The 14627-nt window shown below is 47.1% G+C and overlaps 1 annotated feature.

Annotated features, from left to right (window-relative positions):
• Positions 12164-12689: an enhancer, noted in NCBI's record as "NANOG hESC enhancer chr15:73113063-73113588 (GRCh37/hg19 assembly coordinates)". NCBI's record gives its function as "activates a minimal SCP1, AML or CMV promoter by ChIP-STARR-seq in naive H9 embryonic stem cells {active_cell/tissue: H9 hESC(naive)}" and the evidence as "EXISTENCE:reporter gene assay evidence [ECO:0000049][PMID:30033119]".

Genomic DNA, 14627 nt, shown 5'->3' with positions numbered 1-14627 from the left:
CCCTGAAATGAATGGCTGGTTTCCCTCGGGACTACAGTTCTAACCATGGCTGATGTTGAGAAAATCTTACATGTAAATCTCCTGAAACAAGGGGCTAATGTTGGCCATGGCACTAGAATTTAACACTTCTGTCTTGAGCTAGACTCTGTTGTCTACTCTTGTCAGTCTCTGTGTTGTATCTGGGGACGAACTTTCTCATCTCAGAGGCCAGAGCCTCCAGTTTGCTTTGTTTAGTGCCAAGTTTGTCCAGATACTGTTGATACTAGTCTGTTTCAGAATTTTACACTTATTTGAACATTTACTTACTTTTACTAATCTCTACTGCTAAACTCTGAGCAGTTAATACTCTACATAATATCTAGGTACCAAGGTGAGCTTTGTCTTGTAATGATTACAGAGGATTTATGAAAGACAGCTCAGGCCAGTCTCTGATGTCTTAAGTTTCCTCTCTAGCTGGCTAACAAGATATCTATGTGGAAAGGGGAAGTACAAAACACACTACTTCTTTTTCAAAGTCCTTATCACAATTGTAAATAATCATTTGGAATAATTATGTGTTTAAGATGGTCGTACATAGGTTCTAAAATCCCTATCAGTCTTGTTCAAGCCTAGCTTGCCTGGAACATGGAAGGTGTTCAATAGATGTTTGCTGAATATTACAGGATAGAATGAAGCAGTAGAAATTAGGAAGGTAGCAGACCCTGTTGGTCACTTCCCTGTCAGTTATTCCTTCTTTCTTAGCTGTGGCAGGCACTGTAAGCCTATGTGAGATAACCACACAGGGCTCCATCAGTAGCTAAAGCAAGTGCTGTGTTGATGACATTGTAATATATATTAAATCATATGTTATTTCCTCAATTAATAGATTGAAGGTAAGGGAATAAACAGCACAGCCTCACACCCATTCTCTTCCTCTCTGATGTTTCCTTCTTAAGAAACAAACACATGGCTTCATTACCAACAAGCTTAGGATAAATTAATAGGAGCTGAAATCCATGAAATTAGATTCACTTTTCTAATTAGCTGGAGAGTTCACAGATACCAGGGCGGTCTTTATCACGGGCTCTCTTCTCCTTGGGATGGGGATAGGCATTTGTGATCTCAGAAAATTAAACCCTCCCCCCTTACATTCTACAAAAAAATTTCTGATTGAAGTGTAAATGTGAATTTCCTTTGGCCACCTGGAAGATCATTTTGAAGTTGTGAATCTTGAGCAAATTGCTCATTAATTCCACCCTGTGTTTGAGAGATTGTGTGATACGCAATTTCCATTTTCAAAGGAATTGTCTTATACTAATAATGTCCTCAGATTATTTGGCACCCTCCATGGAGTTCAAAGTGATTTTGAGACCTTTTGTCTTTAATTCCCACATGCCAAAGAGAGAAAACGGGGGGCCAGGAGAGAAAGTAACTGCTTTCCAGATAGCCAAGTGAAGGAGGCTGAGGTCAGGGAGCCAGGGGCCAGGAGAGACAGAACAAAGTTGTCAAGATGACCCAGTGGGTCAGTGGCAGCCCCAGAGAATCCCAACTCTTATTTCATTTTCTCCTCCAGCCAACCAACCACCCCAATTATTTCCTAAGATTCTGAAACTGTCCAACAGACCCATGAGGCTCAAAGCAAGGACTCTGGAGGCCTGGCCCTGCCTCTTCTAAGGATTCACTACATGACTAAAAATGGCAAAATTTGCCCAGTGAAAGAACGGGCTCCCTGTCCACAACAGCTAGATGCCCAGTTTCCAGGAGTCCTTTCATTCACGCATGCATTCAGTTATATGACAACTTTTTATTGAGCACCTACTATGCACCAGACACTGTTCTGAGTGCTGAGAATATAGAAGTGGATACATGAACAAAAATCTTTGCCCTCACAGAGGCTATCCCAGTGGGGAAGGCAAACAATGAACAAAAGAAATAAGTAAAATATAAGTTTTGTTAATAGTGATAAATGCTAGAAAGAAAATAAAGCAAGGACAAGGGACTTAGTGTCAATCCCAATCAGGGTACAAGATGGGTTGAATTTTTAGTTGGGATAACCCGGGAACACTGCACTGAAAAAGTCCAGGAAGAGAAGAAAGATCACAATGAATACTATGGAGGGTATCACAGCCTTGGACCAAACATGGGACCAGGTATTTCCTACAGTCTCTTCTGAAATAAATTCATTCCTCTCTCACGCATCTATGCAAGTATTCTTCAGAGGGTTGTAGGAGTTAAGAAATTAATGAATATTTGTACAGGGTTGAATAGTGTGCCCCCCAAAATGCATGTCAACCCCAGGACCTCAGAATGTGACCTTATTCGGAAATAAGGTCTTTGCAAATGTAATTTGCTAAAATGACATTATATTGGTTTAGGGTGGACCTTCTGGTATCCTTCTAAGAAGGCCATAAAGTGACACAGAGGACAAACATGGGGAAGATAGTCATGTAAAGATGGAGACAGATATTGGAGTGAGGCAACTACAAGACATGAAATGCCAAAGGTTGCCAGGGACCACCAGAAGCCAGGGAGACGCATGGAACGTGTCCTCCCTCACAACCTCCAGAAGGATCCAACTCTGCTGACAGCTTAATCTGGGACTTCTGGCCTCCTGAACTGTGAGATGATAAACTTCTATTGGTCTAAGCCACCTAGTTGGTGGTAACTTGTTACAACAGCTCTAGACAACGGATACAGATTTTGGTACCAAGAAGTGGTGCTGCCTAAAATATGTAAGGGCTTTGGAATTGGGTGATGGGTAGAGGCTGGAGGAATTTTAAGCCTAGACTGTCGAAAGAGATTATCAGTACAAATATAGGCATTAAAGTATACTCTGGTGAGGACTCAGAAGGAAGAGCACAGCAGAGAAAGCACCTATCATCTTAGAGAAAATGTATATTGTCATGAAAAAATATCAGTTGAAATATGAACATTAAAGATCTTTGGTGATATCTGAGATTGAAATAAGGAGCCTATCATTGGAAACTGGAGGAAAGAGTGGCAAAGAACTTGGCTGAGTTGTGTTTTAGTGTTGGGTGGAAAATAGAACTGGTAAGTAACTTGGATATCTAGCTGAAGAGATTTCCAAGCAAAATATGGAAGGTGCAGTCTGGTTTCTCCTTGCTGTTTTTAGTAAAATGCAAGGGGAAAGAGATAAATTGAGAAGGAGCTACTAAGCAAAAAGGAACCAGAACTTGATTATTTGGAATATTTTCAACTCATCCATATTATAAAAGATGATAAGGCATGCTCTAGAGGAACACCAAGGGTGTGGCTGAGCAATCTTCTGGTGCCGTTAGATGTACAAATTACGGATCCAACCAACCATCTCAGCAGGAGCCAGGAATAGAGATGGGGCTACCGAGGAAGGATCTGTAAAGAACTCTGTGTCTAATGAAGTGGATCCTCTTAATATACACAGGAGACCCACCAGGATTTTGAGAATGTCATGTCACCAACAACACTACCAGCTTGGGCTAAATGGAACAGAGACAGGAAAAAATGAAAGAAAGCTGCCATTATTCTGGGATTCTATAGGCAGGAAACCAGCCAATAGAGTGATTCAGCTGTGAACATGTATTATCCTTCAAAAAAGGAAAAGATGACTGGGGGAACCCATCAGGGCTGCCTGTGCTTCCCCTATAGAAAGTGTCACCCAAGATATTAGGGCTCCTGTGAAGCAATTCTTGTTCCCTACATATAGCACAGAAGCAGGGGAACATCAAGGAACCACAGAAGCAGAGACTGATGGGGGTCCTTAGGTGTAGTTCCGTGGGTAGAGCTTATGTTGATCCAAAGACTCAGGAATTAAAAAGTTATTTGACCTCGACACACTTAACATACCATACCAAGATGGGGATAGAATATCCCTCAAGAGAAACCCCCATCTAAAAGGCGGGGGTAGGCTAGGCACAGTGACTCATGCCTGCAATCCCAGTATTTTGAAAGACTGATGTGGGAGGATCACTTGAGGCCAGGAGTTCAAGATCAGCCTGGGCAACATAGCAAGATACTGTCTCTCCAAAAAATAAAATAAAACAACAAAAAATAAATTATCCAGTCATGGTGGCATGCGACTATAGTCCCAGTTAGGAGGATCACTTGAGCCCAAGAGTTCAAGGCTGCAGTGAGCTATGATCCAGCCACTGCACTCCAGCCTGGGTGACAGAGCAAGACCCTGTCTCTAAATTAATTAATTAATTAATTAATTTAACAAAGGGGAGAGGCAAGTGGGAGGTACATGTAGTCACTATTCCATAGTGATTTTGAAATCTAGCTGGGCAGATATTATCAGTTCCCTCTACTCTAAAGGCAAGGAGTTTTCTTTGACTAGGACCTATTTTGTGCTTCCTGGGAGTGATTTCCTAACCTATTGTTCTCTTTGGTTCTTGGCTTCATACTCTGGGCTCCACTATCTGAGACATCTCCCTTTTCAAAAATGAATAGATCCTATTTACAGCTGGATCTCTGTTTTCTGCCTGTAAAAAGTTGGAAGCCTAGAGATCGTTTTTCATTTTGTTGTTTCTGTCTTTTTATTTTTATTTTTTGAGACAGAGTCTGTCTCTGTCACCCAGGCTGGGGTGTTGGAGTGTAGTGGTGTGATCATAGCTAAGTGCAGCCTCGAACTCCTGGGCTCAAGCAATCCTCCCACCTCGTCCTCCTAAGTAACTGGGACTACAGGTGCACGCAACCACAGCTGGCTAATTTTTAAAAAAAAATTTTAGTAGAGACAAGTTCTCGCTATGTTGCCCAGGCTGCTGGTCTCAAACTCCTGAGCTCAGGCCATTCTCCCACTCCAGCCTACCAAAGTGCTGGGACTAGAAGCATGAACCACCACACTCAGCCTCTGTACCTTTTAATCCAAGTTAGTATATTTTTTTTCCCAAGACAATTCTCTTTTTTGTGTGGATTTCCCATGAATCTGGGTGGGAGCGACTCCATGCTTCAAAAGCCACATTTATAATACTTTCCGAGCTACATCTCTTTCTACTTTGGGTTGGTGTCCAGATTGTTTCAGAAGCTCCTTTGTCTAGCTAAGAGGATCTACGAGGTACTGGCTTAAATCTTTCTGAGGTCTAAACAGAGTCTTACAGCCACAATATTGATTCGTTCTTTACCCTGGGACCATTTCTTATTTTGAGTATCTTTTGCTGGAGAGACTGTCCTAGACTGTCTATATTGCGTCTAGATTTTGCTTGAAAACTGAATGGCTCCTTCTTGAATTCTTCCCTCCCTTATGATACCTTATCTTATGCTGCTAAAAGAAGCCAGTAGGCACTTTCAATATTCTCTGTGGAAATCTCCTTAGCTAGATCCACAGGTTTATTAGCTGCATTTTCTATCCTCCAAACAACACTAATTGTGTTATATAACACAGGTTGCCTTTTCTCCAGCCTCCAATAACAGCTTCCTCACTGTTCTCCCATTGTCCAATAACAGTTTCTTTGTCATCCTTCCATCCTCCAGCTGCCATGAAGTCCCAAAGTCTATCTGTGTATTTTATTTTTATTTTATTTATTTACTTATTTTTAGAGACAGAGTCTTGCTCTATCACCCAGGCTGGACTGCAGTGGCAGGATCACAGCCCACTGCACCCTCAAACTCTTGGGCTCAACCAATCCTCTTGCCTCAGCCTTCCAAGTATCTGGGACTACAGGGGTGAGCCACCAAACTTAGCTAATTGTTTTTTGTTTGTTTGTTTGTTTTTTAGAGTTGAGGTCTTGCTATGTTTCCCAGGCTGGTCTCGAACTCCTAGCCTTAAGCGATCCTCCTGCCTCAGCCTCCCAAAGTGCTGAGATTGCAGGCTTGAGCCACTGTGCCCAGCTGCCATATGTTTTAAATTTTTGCTACAGTAGCACCTCTACTCCTATTTCAAATTTCTATTTCAGTTAGCCTCTGCTACATGAAAAAAAAAAAAAACAACTATTCCAAAACTTAGTAGCCTAAAATTAGCAATCTGGGCTGTGCTCAACTGAGCAACTTGTTTCTGCAACAGATGGTTTCAGCTGACTCACTCTTGCACTTGCAGCCAGCTGGTACCTCAACTGGAGGTGGAGGAACCAAGACAGCCTCACTCACCTGCTTAGGCCCAGCTGGGATGACTGACATGGCTGAGAGTGGGCTAGGCCTCACTCTCTTTCCACAGGGCTTCCTATATTCAAGGATGTTAGCATGGGCTCCTTTACAGGGAGTCCTAGGGCAACATGAGACTGAAAGCAGAGGCTGTAAGGCTCCATCGTGCCTCAGAACTTGCACGATGTCCCTTTTGCTGCATTCTGTTGCCCAAGCAAGCCACAAGACTGGCCCGGATTCAACAAGGAGAGAACTACAGAAGGGCAGCAATTCAGGACCTTCATTTCTCGATATACCAGGATCCTCAAAGATTGAAAATAGTCTGGGTTCTCTGGGCCAAAGGAGAGTCTCTAGCCCAGAGTAAGAGTTCAGTCAGCATTAGACGAACGGGCCAAATAAACATGTGCAATGTGCTGTCCTCACCGGCTGAAGAGTCACTTGTACCAGGAGGAAGGCGTCATCTAGTCCCACCCTTGTGGCATCCTCATCCCCTCAATGTGAGCCCTAGCATGTGGCTCCCTCCTCTACCCGCTCACCCCCGGATGTAGGACCAAGCTCAGATGGATCATCTAGGTAACCACAGGTTCCTGCCCACTCGCTTCTGGGGTGTCATGAAGCCTGGACTATCCCAATAGGAAGGGACTCTTCTGCAAGGCCCACCGGCACAGCAGCCTCACTCTCGTGGGGCAAATCACAGAAAGGGAAAGGAGGGGAAGAGTGTGCATAGGGGTGTCCCCACTCCTGCTCCCAGAAAGGCCTTACCAGCCCTAGGATCATAGATGGGCAGATCAGGAAGGTCCCTATCCACTGCACAGAAGGAAATAGAGGCACAGAGAGAGAAGCCTCTGGTCAGAGGTCAGTGGCAGAGTCACATCCCAGGATAAGGGCCTGATCTCAAAGTTCATCAGTTTTCTCAGGCAGTCACACAGCAGACACCCACCCAGATGAGAAGACCTGCAAGGATTGCCCAAAACACTTAGGAGACAGTGCAGGGGAAAGGTGAGGAAATGGAGAAGAGTTGTCCCTTCCCCAGGGAAACCCCGAAACAGACCCTTTCCCCACCCAGGGCCTCCTGACAGCAGGGCCTGACAAGTAGGGTCAGGGCTGGGAGTGTCTCTAGATGCTGAGCGTGCCATGTTCCTCCCGGCCTATCAGTAAGGAATGGGGCCCCACCCCACCCTCAAGGCTCACCCATCATCCCCAGCCTCTTGCCCCAGCTGCCAACGGAGGCAGCCCCAACACAACCTCCACCAGGCCAGTTCCCTCAGCCCCCACCTCTCCTGACCCTCCCACCTCTTCCAAGCTGCAGCCCACCCCCACCAGGCTGCCTGCCTGTGTCAGCCCCCAGGGTGAACAGCCTGCCAGCCCCTGAGCTCATCCGTCACTTACCCTACTTGGTGCTGGGCCCAGGAGACAGAGATTACTCAGGTCCAGCCCTGCCCTCGGGTCCTTCCAGACAAGGACAAATGGCCATTTTCCCTTTGACAAGCAGATTGATGCTTTTCTGTCAGGAGAAGCTCTTAGAGCCTGGGAAATGTTGTCCCCTCTGGCTCCAGAGCAGCTCTGAGGCCAATGAGACTATAGCTAAGGGTCTCCCTCCCCAGCCACCACCTCCACCCTGGAATTTTCCATAAATCCTTGGGTAAAAAAGATTAAGAAGAGAGAGAGAACTGGAGAGAGGTGCACACTCTCAGGCATCCTCATGCACACATAGGCACAAGCCCTACACACATCCCACTCGGACATGGGCACACACACGCCACAAGCATGCACACACAGAGAGACACAGGCACACGAACACCATGAGCATGCGTCACACATAGACACACATACCATGAGGATGCACACAGAGACACATACCATGAACATGCACACAGGCGCACATGTGCCATGAACATGCATACACAGATACACATGCCATGAGCATGCATACACACAGTGAACATGCACACACAGACATACAGACACACACGTGAGCATGCATGCACACAGGCACACCCATTATGAGCATGCACACAGACATATGCCATGAGCATGCACACACACAGATACACAAGCACACAAACACCATGAGCATACATGCACAGAGACACATTCACCATGAGCATGCACACACAAACGCATGCCAGGAACATGCACACACACAGAGACACAGGCACACAAACACCATGAGTATGCACGCACACAGCAATGCGAACACCAGACACACAACCAGATACAAACATACCAGCATACACACAGACACACATGCATACTTAGACACATGAACACCTACAGAAAGTCACACCCAAGTGAACATGCATGCATAAACACACATAGAAGCCCACGAGCACCCACCTCATCGCACAAGATCATGTGCAAACACAAAGATGACATGGAGGCCCACACATGCTGCAGCCATGGCACACAGACACACACACACAGGCATTCACACACAGGCAAGTTCGCATGAGGTCCCCAAAGTCTCATGATCACGCTGTGAGGTGAGTGCATTACACTGACTCCAGTCCACTTTGCTCCACCTGGGGCTGGGTGGTGCCCCTGCCTACAGTCTGGGGTTTTGCTGCCGTCCCTACCTGGATGGGCTCCAGCCTACTGACAGGAGGATTAATGGAGATCTGGGGGCATCTTTGAGAGGAGGAGAATGCCCTCTGAGGGAGTCCTCAGCCAAGCTGGGGCACATTCAGTGGCCCTGGGTGGGCTTCAAGGGTGGGCTTCAAGAGTGTCAGATGTCATTACAAGCCAAGCTAGCCACACTTCCCCAGCTGCAGATCAGGAAACTCCAACACAGGGCCCAAACCATGAGGCTGCTCTCTGGAGAGATGGGGAGGCTTCAGCATCCCTCCACTTGCCTCTGCTGAGAGGGAGGGAACCAAAGCCACCCCAGCCCCTGCCCTGCCCCATGCCCTTCCAGCCAGGAATCCCAGACAGACTTGCTGCTCCAGCAGATTTCCGGAGATGGGAGTAGACGAATCGATGATGCTCGGAGCATTTACAGCCAGTGGGAAAAGTCGCCCTGGGCCTCCCTGACACCAGAAATAAATGATTCCACGAACAGAAAACCACTCAGACGCGGACGAATGACCCGCTGGAGAGTGCTTTCACCTTGAGAAATTGCAGGCACTGGCGGCAGCCAGGGCTATGAGCTGGGTGGTCTGCGCAGCCCAGGGTCAGATCACATTGCATCCAGGCCCCAAGACCCCGACAGCCCAAGCCACAGCCACCGGCAGTTCTGCCAGGCAGCCTCTCATCTCTAGGGTACATGCGAGGCAGGAACCTACAGGCCCAGCCCTTCTACAGAGCAGCTGCTTGGAAGGATCCGTCTGTGGACAAAAATGGGGTTCTGTTTTCTTCAACAGAAAACCTGGTTTCTTTTTCTTCTCATGTCATTCCAAGGCTGCTGACAAGCAAATCCCCCAACCCAAAGTGTTTCTGGGAGTACCAGCAGGTGTCCCACATATGTTCATGGACATGGCTGGTCAGTTGCTATATGACAGCTGATGTATTTCTCTTCTGCTGGGAACTGTGTCTGCCTGACACTGACGCTTCTGCTGGGTACTGCTGGGTCCACCTGGCATCACTGTGGGGCCAGGGCCCATTCCTCCAGATGCAAAGCTGTGCCCCCAGCAGTTGAAAGCAGAGGCAGAACCTCCCTCCTCCCATGCCACTCTATCAAAGGGATCTGGAACAGAGTTGCTTGTGCCTCACTGCCTCACGGAATTTTAGGAAAATGACTTTTGCAATTCCAACCATGCCACCCATCTGCTCTCCCATACCTTAGCATCCAGACATGAGTCCATGGAAGTCAGTGATAGAGAGAGAGGACCCAGAACTTTCCTGTCCCCTAATGACTTCTGCTGAGCAAATCTATTGGCCTGGCCGCCTATTCCCCTAGGTGAGGACTCTTCCCAAAGGACCATAATCCACACAAAAGAGCATCCTGTCCCACTGTTGCCAGAGATATCTAGCCTCACTGAATTCAAGAGATGGACACTGGTTTGGCTCAAGAGAACCCTGTTACACCCAAATATATGTTCAGCCTGCAAAAGTAATAACGACACCCTAATAATGACGGGGCAAGAGCTGGGCTTGGGGCTGTTTACCACCAATTCCAACTGCAATGGCCCAAAAGGCAAGAATATTGTCTGCCCTGGGCAGACGCTTGTGCTCTGCTAAAGGCTAAAATGGGACCACGACCTCTCAAGGTCTTGGTGTTTCCCACTCCCATGACCCCACTTGCTGCTTTTCCTTATAAAGTGAAGACTACTGGTGTGGAAGAAGGGAGGGAATACCAACAGCTATGGTCTCAATGTTTGTTTCCCCCCCAAAATTCATATGTTGATATCCTAACCTCCAAGGTGATGGTATTAGGAGGCGGGGCCTTTGGGAAGTGATTAAGTCATGGGAGCAGAGCCCTCGTGAATGAGATTAGTGACCATATAAAAGATGCCCCAGGCTAGGTGCAGTGGCTCATATCTGTAATCCCAGTACTTTGGGAGGCCAAGGCAGGCTGATTGCTTGAGCCCAGGAGTTCAAGACCAGCTTGAGCAACATGGCAAAACCCTAACTCTACAAACAATAAAAAAATTAGCTAAGCATGGTGGTGTGTGCCTGTAGTCCCAGCTACTCAGGAGGCTGAGGTGGGAGGATCACTTGAGCCCAGGAGGTCAAATCTGCAGTGAGCTGTGATCGAACCACTGCACTCCAGCCTGGATGACAGAGCAAGACCTCATCTCAAAAAAAAAGGCCAAACACCAAAATATAAAAGATGCCCCAGAGAGACCCTTCCTTCTTCCACCAAGTGAGGACACAACAAGAAGTCCATCTAGGAGGAAGCAGTCCCTCACCAGACATCAAATCTGCCAACACCTTGGTCTTGGACTTCCCAGCCTCTAGAACTGTGAGAAATAAATTTCTGTTGTTTATAAACCATCCTGTTTATGGTATTCTGTTACAGCCTGGAAAGACTAAAACACTGATCCATGCTAGAAAACAACATTCTTCCTCCCCAAGCTTCCAGCTCCAGCCTTCAGGACACTTGCTCAGTCTTCCCAGCCCCTGCACTGCTGCTCAGAGACAGGCCATGAAGACTGATGACCCTGCAGTTTTGGGAACTGACCTCCCCAGGGGACTCTGCTAACACTCCCACCTCATTTCCCCTTCAGACTGGCCTGGAGTGATTCTCTCCTGAAAGGCTTAACCCCGTTACCTTTGGTTTCTGCATTTACAGGGAAGTTCCAGTACAGAGCCACTGGACATCACCCAAATATCCACACTCTTCTTGAATATGATGCTAACAACATCCCCAGTGGTGTTCTTCTCAAGCTCAAGCAGCCTGACAAGGCTTCCTGGGAGAGAAGAGGCCTCTGAAAGAGTAGGATTGAGTTGCAGCCAGCACAAAGAGAGAGGAAGGCCTCACAGTCAGTGGATCTCCACCCCTGAGAATGTGGAGTTAGCCCAGGGGTATGATCCCCCAGCCTTGGACCAGCTGAGGACCATGATCCCCAAACCCTGAGCACCATGGGGACCAGCCCAGGGATATGATACCCCAACCCTGAGGACCATGGGGCCAGCTCAGGGCTATGACCCTCCAGCTGCCCTGAGGACCAGACCGTGGAGACCAGCTTGAGCTTAACTTGGTTAAGCTCTGAGACTAGCACTACAAGGGACATGGAAAGTGCCCTAAATACGACGAAACAACACCCAGGGTAGGGCCCTCCACTGTAGCCTGTGCTGAGGCACTAGCCTGCCTTTGGGTCAGCCCAGAAGGGGAACTAGAAAAGGCTTCCAAAAGGCAAAGCCCAAAAGGGGAAACAGGAACCAGGAGGGTCATGGAGGACAGGGACAGCAGGGCCCATGTAAACTGCACAGGAAGAAAGGCACTTGGCTGTGGCCTTGAGGAGATTCATGCATGAAGGTAAAGGCAGGAGTTGGGAGCAGCAGACCAAGAGCTCTTCCATACCTGAAGGGGAGACATCTCTCATCCTGGGGTGGAAGCACCAGACATTCCATCTACCTGACTCCACATTCAGTCTCTACCTGCAGACACAGAGAAACTGCTGGCCACATATGCCTTCCTGGAGTCATGCATTCTAGTAAATCAACCCAGCAGCTTCTGGTTACAATCTGTTCCACCTGTACCTCAACCACAGGGAAGAGATGCCTGATGTTTCTCTCTCTCTCTCTCTCTCTCTCTCTCTCTCTCTCTCTCTCTCTCTCGCTCTCATTCTGAGTTCGAGTGTGTGTGTGTGTGTGTGTGATTATTTTTAAATCTCACCGCAGTTGGAGATGGTTGTCCTAATTAAATCTCACCGCAGTTGGAGATGGTTGTCCTAAGAGAATGATAGAATTCCTCTGAGGGAGAAAACTGCTCTTTTGTTTGGGAAAACACCTTAATGGATCTTTTAATTATGCAAAGAGAGGCCCCAGGGCTGCTTTGGACTGGAAAGGATGAGACAAAGAAGAAGCTAAATCGCACTGCATAATAAACTCACAGAAATTTTGAACCTCTCCCAGGAGGTAGCCTGAAGAAAGGGGCCCCCAACAAGAGGAAAACTCAGGGGCCTAAGGAAAAAGGTGGCCAGTGAGGAGCACAGGCTTCCCCCACCACCCTGTTCCCCTGCCGATGGCACTGCTGGGGACAGCACTGGTTTTCCCACAGCAGGCTGGCATCCTTTACCTAGATGTTGGTGGAAAGGGCACCCTAGGAAGCTGGAAGGCTGAGATGTTTGGATTACAGATTTCAACTATTTCACTCTTGGGTCTGCCCATTTTTATGAAAAGCAATAAACTGATGTTCCGGCACCCACCTCAACCTTTCTGGGAGGTAGCAAGGGGAATGATGAGCTGGAGATGAGGTAACTGGAGATGAGGTCACCAAGGAGAAGTTCACAGTCACGGCGAGGGGAGTTCACTTTAGTTCTGTTTTGTGGTTTACAAGGCCACTCTATCCCATTGCTTCACCAAATCATCAGTAAAATCTGCATTACTTGCTAATGATTTGCAGAATCCTATTTGACTTTTGGGGGATGTGATCAAATGACAAGTCCTGCTCCAGCGTGGATGTGGGAAATAGACTAAGTCAGTTACACCTGGGTTCCACTTAAAGCTAAATGTGTTCCATTCAAGGGTTGTCCTTTATCTTAGATTATGCCCTTCCTATTTTTATGAAATGGTGGAATGATGTATTTTTCATGTCCTCAGTTGGCAAAATAAAAATTTTCAACCTAGTATTACCTCCCTTTTTAAAAACATTTTTTACCCGTTTTTGAAATCCCAAAGTCTGACATTGTTAGCAGTGGTAGATCAGAACAGGTCTGCAGCAACCTCAATTCTTGCCTTCTCAGAAGAAAGAATTCGACCAAGAGGCATAAGGAAGAGAAACCGAGGCAAGATGAAGAGCAAGAGTGAAAGTTTATTAAAAAGCTTTAGGTCCAGCATGGAAAGAAGTAAAGTATACTTGGAAGAGGGTCAAGCGGGCAACCTGAGAGAGTCGAGTGCTCTGTTTGAGCTTTGACTTGGGGTTTTATATGTTGGCATACTTCTGGAGTCTTAAGTCTCCCTTCTCTCCTGATTCTCTTCTTGGGGTGGGCTGTCCACGTGCACAGTGGCCTGCCAGCACTTGGGAGGGGCTGCATGTGCAGTGTGTTTACTGGAGTTGTACACATGCTCACTTGAGGCGTTCTTCCTTTACCAGTCACCTGTTCCTAGAAGGTCGTATACCAATTAAACTCTGACATGTTGCCTCTTAGTGCACATGCTTGAACCCACTGGCCCGATTCCTGAGATCTTATTAGGAAGCTGCTGATCACCGGTTTCAGGTATTTCTGTCTATTGGGAGACTGCTTTTCCCTGGAGCTTGCTGTGACAAATTATTATTTTAGAGAGACAGTTAACAACCACCTGACCATCACCTGATGGTCGCCTGACATTCTTGGTTTGTGGTGAGCCCTCTCCTGCCCTGCTCCTGTCTAACTACCTGCCATAACAACTTGAAGCCACATTCCTGAAGGCTCTGCCTTGCACAAATCTTATCCAGGTGGGAAATGCAGAGACCACTTCCAAAGAGAGAGGCTCTCCCTTTCCTAAAGATTTCTGCATTGTCTGCATCAGCACACAGCTTTATTACTCACTATGACATCAGGACAATCTTTCGATTAAAGAAACCCGACCTTACAGGCAACAAACAAGGTTTTATAGACACTTTATGTCCTTCGGCAAACTTCTTGAGTTTTTCCTCAATAAGCATCAGACTTAGAGGCGCATGTATTTTAGTTTGGTGCTCAGTTCCACAATCTTAGAGTTTTTCAGGTCTTTGATCATGCTTAAATGCTTCCTAGTCTTTATTATACTTCATGGTGGGGAAAGCCTTTTCATGGCCTCTTTTATTTTATTTTTTTTAGTCTTTGTCATGAAGTGCAGTGGCCTTTGCTCGCCCCTCATGTTACATATCTCTACCTCCCCAGGCGCCCATAACTCAGCTAGCTCCCTGCATCTCCATCCGGACCTCTTGCATTCAAACTGTCTGGGCAGCCTACTGGGTGCCTGGCTGCCTCCTGCAGGGCTCAGAACCAGCT

The sequence above is a fragment of the Homo sapiens genome, chromosome 15, assembly GCF_000001405.40.
Source record: "Homo sapiens chromosome 15, GRCh38.p14 Primary Assembly".
NCBI lineage: Eukaryota > Metazoa > Chordata > Mammalia > Primates > Hominidae > Homo > Homo sapiens.
Note: the sequence above shows the minus strand (reverse complement) of the source record. Positions and strands in the feature narration are given on the sequence as shown.